Below are 8,131 nucleotides of genomic sequence, written 5' to 3'. Positions count from 1 at the left end.
ATGGAAAGCCTTATTTAGTTTACTTGGAATAATTTGACTTATTTTGTTTTATTGTTGTGGAATATATTGCAGTTTTATTCTTTTTGTAGGAATGCAGGATAAGCTTACTGAATGTTTTCTTAAACTGAACACTTATTAATCTTCCAGATATCACCTTTTGTCAGAACTGAGTTATGAATGGCCCTCGCCATACCTACACTTTCGGAATGAGCTCCTCTCTGCCCTGAATACAAGAGACCCTAAGAGTTAGGCTGGAATATCATTGCCCCATTCAGCCTGAAGAAGTTACAGAAGATGGATCTTCTTCCCTCTACAACTGTTAGGATTAAGGGTTCCCTTGTAAAAGGGAAGAGGAAATATGTCAGAGGCGTTTAAACCACAGTGACTCCATCTTGAATAGGGGCTGTGTAAAATAAGGATAAGGCCTACTAAGCTGCATTCCCAGTAGGTTAGGCATTCTAAGTCACAGGATGAGATAGGAGGTCAGCACAAGATACAGGTTACAAAGCCCTTGCCCATAAAACAGCGTGCAGGAAAGAAGCCGGCCAAATCCCACCAAAACCAAGATGGTGACGAAAGCAACCTCTGGTCATTCTCACTGTTCATTATGATACAATGATAAAGGCAAGGGGCAGAGAAATTCTAGGAAGACAGGGACAGGTCCCTGGCGAAGCCCCACCCCTAAGCCAAAAAGCCTGAAACCCTGGCCCAAAGTGAGAACTTATATCCCTCTTTTCGCCTATGGAGTAGCCATTCTTTTATTCCTTTACTTTCTAAATAAACTTGCTTTCACCTTATGGATTTCCCTCGAATTCTTTCTTGCACAAGATCCAAGAACCCTCTCTTGGAGATTGGATCAGGACCCCTTTCTGGTAACATCTGTCCACATCACTATCAGCATTTTGATCAAAACCATTCAACAAGTCTCTAGGAAGTTCCAAACTTTCCCTCATCTTTCTGTCTTCTGAACCCTCCACACTCTTCCAACCTCTGCCCATTACCCAGTTCCAAAGTTGCTTCCACATTTCTGGTATCTTTATAGCAATGCCCACTTCCCAGTACCAATTTTCTGTATTAGTCCATTCTCGCACTGCTATAAATACCTGAGACTGGGTAATTTATAAAGAAAAGAAGTTCAATTGGCTCATGGTTTCTGCAGGCTGTACAGGAAGCATGGCTGGGGAGGCCTCAGGAAACTTAAAATCGTGGCAGAAGGTGAAGGGGAAGCAGGTATGTCTTCACATGGCCAGAGCAGGAGGAAGTGGGGGGAGGTGCTGCACAATTTTAAACCACTAAATCTTGTGATAATTCACTTACAAGAACTGTACCAAAGGAGAAATCCTCTCCCATGATGCATTCATCTCCCACCAGGCCCCACTTCCAACATTGGGGATTACAATTTGACATGAGATTTGGGTAGAGACACAGACCCAAATCCTATTATATCCCATGTCATTTATGCATTCATCCGTTGATGGATAATTGGATGTTTTCACTTTTCCTGCTATCATGAATAATGTTGATATAAACATTTATGTGCAATTTTTGTGTGGACATATGTTTTTATTTCTCTAGGAGTGCAGTTGCTGGGTCATATGGTAATTGTATGTCTAACTTTTTGAGAAACTGCCAAATTGTTTTCCACAATTGCATCATTTTACTTTCTCACTAGCAATTTATGACGGTTCCAGTTTCCACATCTTTGCCAACACTTGCTATATTCTGGGTTTTTTTTCTTAATTATAGCCATCTTAGTGTGTGTTAGGTGTTATGTCATTATGGTTTTGAATTATTTTTCCCTAATGACTAACAACGTTGAACTTCTTTTCATGTGCTTGTTGGTCATTTGTATATCTCCTTTGAGTAAATGTCTATTCAAGTCTTTTGCCCATTTTAAAATCAGTTTGTCTTTTTTGTTGTTAAGTTGTACAGCTTCTTTACATAATATGTATACTAGAACCTTATCAGATATATGATTTGCAAATATTTTCTCTCATTCTGTAGGTTGTCTTAACTTCCTTGATGTATCTTTGTGCTTAATAGTTTTAATTTTGGGCCGGGCATAGTGGCTTACACCTGAATCTCAGCACTTTGGGAGGCCGAGGTGGACAGATCACCTGATGTCAGTAATTCGAGACAAGCCTGGCCAACATGGCAAAACCCGGTCTCTACTAAAAATACAAAAATTAGCTGGGTGTGGTGGCGGGCACCTGTAATCCAAGCTACTTGGGAGGCTGAGGCATGAGAATTGCTTGAACCTGGGAGGTGGAAAGTTGCAGTGAGCGAAAATCGCACCACTGTACTCCAGTCTGGGTGAGAAGAGTGACTCTGTCTCAAAAAAGAAAAAGTTTTAATTTTGTTGAAGTTGAATTTATGTATTTTTTCTTTTGTTGTTTGTGGTCTCGTCATATCTATTAAGGATCCATTACTAGGCCAGGTGTGGTGGCTCACGCCTGTAATCCCAGCACTTTGGAAGGCCAAGGTGGGCAGATCACTTGAGCTCAGGAGTTTGAGACCAGCCTGGGCAACATGGTGAAACCCTGTCTCTACCAAAAGTACAAAAACTAGCCATGCGTGGTGGCTCGAGCCTGTGGTCCCAGCTACTTGGGAGGCTGAGGTCGGGGGATCACTTGAGCCTGGGAGGCAGAGGTTGCAGTGAGCCGAGATTGTGCCATAGCACTCCAGCCTGGGAAACAGAACAAGACCTTGTCAAAAAAAAAAAAAAATCCATTACCACATTCAAGGTCATAAAGATGTTTACTTCTTTTTTAAAAAAAAACATGTTTGATGAAACTTTTATTAGAAGATGTCCCAAAAGGCAACATTTTACAATCAGGCAATCAGAAATCAAAACTAAATACAAAATTTCAGGTAAACGTGCTTTTCAAAATAAATCAGACCCTTTTAACGGAATTTCCCAAGAGGTTTTTTTCTTGAACAAAAAGAGTTAACACTGCTTTGCAAACGGCATACAAAAATACAATATAAAAAATACTCCCCCCCAGTATACCAAACAGCAGCTGATAAAACACAAGTTATTTAGACCCTTTTAACAGAATTACCCAAGAGTATTTTTTTCTTGTACAAAAAGAGTTAACACCACTTTGCCAAAGGCATACAAAAATACAATGTAAAAAATACTCCCCCTCAGTGTAATACCAAACAGCAGCTTATAAAACACAAGCTATTCAGACCCTTTTAACAGAATTACCCAAGAGGTTTTTTTTTTCTTGTACAGAAAGAGTTAACACCACTTTGCAAAAGGCATACAAAAATACAATATACACTTTGGGAGGCCAAGATGGGTGGATCACGAGGTCAGGAGATTGAGACCATCCTGGCCAACATGGTGAAACCCCGACTCTACTAAAAAAAACAAAAATTAGGTGGGTGTGGTGGCACATGTCTGTAATCCCAGCTACTCAGGAGGCTGAGGCAGGAGAATCGCTTGAACCAGGGAGGCGGAGGTTGCAGTGAGCCGAGATTGTGCCACTGCACTCCGACCTGGCGACAGACCGAGACTCCGTCTCAAAACACAAAAACAAAAACAAAACCCAAAAAAAAATATAAAAAATACTCTCCCCCAGTATAATACCAAACAGCAGCTTATAAAATACAAGGTATTCAGGTGAAACATCAGTAACCTACACTTAACCTGTTCCATAGACAGTTTCAAAAGTCAGCTGGCTCTTGTAAACCATGCTCCAGAAGGGTAAAGAGGCTATTTCCAAACATCCCCTGGAGTTCTCTGAGGGCAAGAAGCAACCTCAGAAAGAAACCATTATGGACAATAGATTTGGAAGTAGCAGCTGGTGTTCCAGAGCCACATATAATAGGACTTACCACTCCCCATCCTCCCAACTTCCAAGCAGGCACCTGCTGTCCTAGGCAGAGTTCTGGAGAGGCTGGTCCTTCTCACAGGACAGGCTTAGGGGTTTCAGAAGTTACCCACATGACAACTGCGGGGTTGGGTGACTTTCCCAGACTGGAGGCAGCACCTGGATTCCACGTGGAGCTGCAGAGTCCAGCTGGGGCAAAATCTATCATGGAGGCAGGTGGATCACCTGAGGTCAGGAGGTCAAGACCAGCCTGGCCAATGTGGTGAAACCCCATCTCTACTAAAAATACAGAAATTAGCTAGGCGTGGTGGCAGGCGCCTGCGATCCCAGCTACTCGGAAGGCTCAGGCAGGAGAATCGCTTGAACCCGGGAGGCAGAGGTTGCAGTGAGCCGAGATCATGCCATTAACCTCCAGCCTGGGCGACAAGAGTGAGACTCCGTCTCAAAAAAAAAAAAAAAAATCCATCATGATGATTGGCTAAGCAGAGCTCCTGGAGGATCCTTTAAAACACACCAGGAGGCAAGTCCACGTTGTGGAGCACTGGATGAGTCCCAACAGCTCTCCAGAAAACTTCAGAGAGGCCCAGATTCTGTGACAGACATCTGACTCATTGCAGGCTGGTGCGAGGGCCCAAGCGTGGCTGCAGAGCCAGCAAGCTCCTTGGAGATGCACGAAAGGAACAAGTTTTCATGGTTCTAGTAGAACTTCAAATTCATCAGTCAAGGATTGAGATGAGAGGCAGGTGCGAAAGAGAAAGTGTTACAGTTCTCCCTTCTAAGGTGCCTCACACCTGTCTTGAGAAAAGATTGGGCCTCAAGGGCCCCTCAGAAAACACCTGGGCAGGGATTGAGTTCATGAGCCAGGGCTTGGGAACTTTCCCCAGGCCCCAGGCTAAGACCCATTTCCCTGTGTCTTAGGGAAATATTTCTAACCTGCGGGAAAGGGTGCTGTAGAACCCATTGCATAACAGAGGCAGAATGAGACAAAGTCCCTTGTGAAGACAGAAAGTTCCCTCACTCAGAGAAGAGAGCCCAGAGGGCTTTAAGACAAATTACTTACAGACGAAGTTCTCTTAAATGTTCTGAGTCACAGCATTGAGAGTGGGAGGAAGGGGGTCAGCCAACATCATAATATATACATATATACATACATATATATATACATATATACATATATACATACATATATATATACATATATACATATATACATACATATATATATACATATATACATATATACATACATATATATATACATATATACATATATGTAAGGTTTCCAACTCCTCAGCTACTGTAGTGTCTGACAGTGAGGTAATGGTCCACGTTGATCAAGTCTCTGAGCTTGTTTTCACCCAAGGCAGCTTGTGTGTCTCCTGGAAAAAAATGGAGCCGCAGGGAGAGCGTCCACACCCAGCTGTCCTTGCATCACCCCAGAGACATCCTTTCCTAGCCTAAAGTTCATGTAGAGTGTGAGATTTCCTCCAGGCTGGAGCCCCCAACAACATCCACCACCTGTTGCATACCATCTGTCAGCCTTTTCTTTGGAGATAGTGAGCCAGGAAGACCCCAAGTCTCCTCAGTCAGCTGCCTGCTGAGAAGCCAAAGGTGCCAGAAAACACAAAGCACTCCCATAAGTCAGGGAAGAGAGAGAGCTGGGTTTCAAAGTTTCCAAGAATGCAAGCCTTTATATTGTTTGTGCACTGGCTGCAATGCATTCTGCAATCTACTGTCCAGAGTGTCCTGCTGTAACAAAAATGTACAAGTTACTAAAGGGGAGAGGGAGATCAAAAAGAAAACTTGTGTCTTTTTAAGACAGAATGGTCAGGCTTTTTGGTCAGTAGCTACTGAGGTACTCAATTCTTTTCTGCAATTGCCGTCGCTGGCATTCGAGCTGCCTTTTCTCCGTAGCCATCCTCTCCTCGGCTTCCGCCAGTTCATGTAAGTATTCCGTGGCCTTGACTAGGATCATTACTTTGGAAACCCTAGAGCAGCTGGCCAGGGCGGGTACCTCGTCCCTCAGGGCCAAGAACCGCGAACGTTGATCATTCCGTCTCTTGCGCTCCAGGTAGCTGTGGTACTTCTTCTTGGTCCAATTCTCAGTATCATAATGGATGGGTTTGGGCTGGCAGGACTGGGCAGCCTCACTTTCTACAGGTGGGAGGCTCACAATCTCTTCATCTTCCTTATCATCCTTTCCCCCTGGAGCTTCTCTCTCTAGAGCCTCTTTTGGGGGCATCCTCTTTGGAGCCCCTTCTTGGAAGCAGCTTTCTGGAGGAAAAGGGGCAGCATAGTTGTGCTGTTGCTGGTGGATGGAGATGTGGAAGAGATTCATGCGGGGATCCAGAAGGTCTGCACGCACCGCGATGATGACTGGCTTCCGCGTACTCAAAGACTGCCTCTTCTTTACTGTCACGTCGATTTCTTCACCCTCGGAGTCGCTTGGGCTCTCAGACCTGGAGCAGGCCTGGATCTTGGGCTCGCCCAACAAACAGGGGAAGATGGGCGCTAGGTTGCCGGCTTCGAGCTCGGGAGTGTAGTCGGGGGTGGCGAACTCCTTGGGCGAGTATCCCGAGGGCGCGCCAACGGCAAGCAGGTCACTCACCGCTCTCTCCAGCGGCTCCTGGGTGGAGAAGCCGCTCCACATGCAGTCACGGCGGATGAGGGAGGCGTAGTTCGCGTCCCAAGCTTTCCAGTAGTCCTGGGATTCCGTCTCGTCCCCAGCGCACCCTACCGGCCACGGTTCCAGGAGACCAAAGCTGAGGGCTGGGTTCCCGGCTGCGGGACCCAAGTCCCAGGGCGGCGGCACCAACTCGAATTTCTTCCAGATGTCCTCGCTGGGCGTCGTGGAGCGGTAGAAATCCTCCCCGCCGTCATAGTCGTAGAAATAGTGATGGTACGAGTCGCGGTCCATGTTGGCTTGCTTGCTCACGCAGCTTGCCACCTGGAGCAGACTAGTTCCCCTCCAGCTGGGGGCAGCAGGGCACTCCACACACGCGCACAACGCGCCACCGAGCGCGCGACCCGCCCTCTGTTTATTTCTAAGAGGCTTACAATTTTAGCTCTTATATTTAGGTCTTTGGTTCATTTTGAGTTATTTTTTGTAAATGGCGTGAGGTAAGGGCCCAGCTTCATTCTTTTGCATGTGAGTATCCAAGTATTCCAGCACCATTTGTTGAAGAGATTATTCTTTTCCAATTGCATGGTCTTGACATCTCTTTGAAAATCAGTTGACCTTAGATGTATGGGTTTCTGACTCTCAATTCTATTCCATTGATCTATATGTCTATCCTTATGCCAGTACCACATTGTTTTGATTAGTGTGGTTTGTAGTACGTTTTGAAATTGAGAAATGCTAGTCCTCCATCATGTCCAGCTATTTTTTTCCTTCCTTCCTTCCTTCCTTTCTTCCTTCCTTCCTTCTTTCCTTCTTTCTTTCCTTCCTTCTTCTTTCCTTCATTTTCTTTCTTTCTTGTGTCACCCAGGTTGGAGTGCAGTGGCTCAATCTCTGCTCGCTGCGACCTCCGCCTCCCGAGTTCAAGTGATTCTCCCACCTCAGCCTCCAAAGTAGCTGCGACTACAGGGGCGCGTGGGCCACCACGCCTGGTTAATTTATTTTTATTTTTATTTTTTGTATTTCTAGTAGAGACGAGGTTTCGCCATGTTGGCAAGGCTGGTCTTGACTCCTGACCGCAAGTGGTCGGTATGCCTCAGCCTCCTAAAGTGTTGGGATTACAGGCATGAGCCAATGAGCTCCACCTGCAGTGCGGATATTTTAATTATAATTTTTTAATATTTCTTTTTCAGATTGTTCACTGTTAGTGTATATAAATATAAATGATGATTTTTGTATGTTGCCCTTGTATCCTGCGTCTTTGCTTAAATCATTTATTAGCCCTATTTTTTTTTCTTTTTTTTGATATGGAGTCTCGCTCTGTCACCCAGGGTGGAATGCAGTGACGCTATCTCGGCTCACTGCAACCTCCACTTCCCGGGTTCAAGAGATTCTCCTGCCTCAGCCTCCCAAGTAGCTGGAACTACAGGCGACTGCCACCATGCCCAGCTAATTTTTGTATTTTTTGTAGAGACGGGGTTTAGCCATGTTGTCCAGGAGGGTCTCAAACTCCTGACCTCAAGTGATCCACCTGCCTCGGCCTCCCAAAGTGCTGGGATTACAGACATGAGCCACCACGCCCAGCTTATTAGCCCTAAATTTTTAAAAAAGATTTTCTATATATAAGATTGTGTCAGCAGGGCTCGGTGGCTCGTGCCTGTAATCCCAGCACTTG

The 8,131-nt window shown here is 45.2% G+C and overlaps 1 pseudogene; it reads right to left on the bottom strand.

Moving 5' to 3' along the window:
• Positions 2,782 to 6,874, bottom strand: MYCLP1 (MYCL pseudogene 1; annotated as a pseudogene).

The sequence above is a fragment of the Homo sapiens genome, chromosome X (assembly GCF_000001405.40).
Source record: "Homo sapiens chromosome X, GRCh38.p14 Primary Assembly".
NCBI lineage: Eukaryota > Metazoa > Chordata > Mammalia > Primates > Hominidae > Homo > Homo sapiens.
This window is presented reverse-complemented; position numbering and strand designations above follow the sequence as displayed.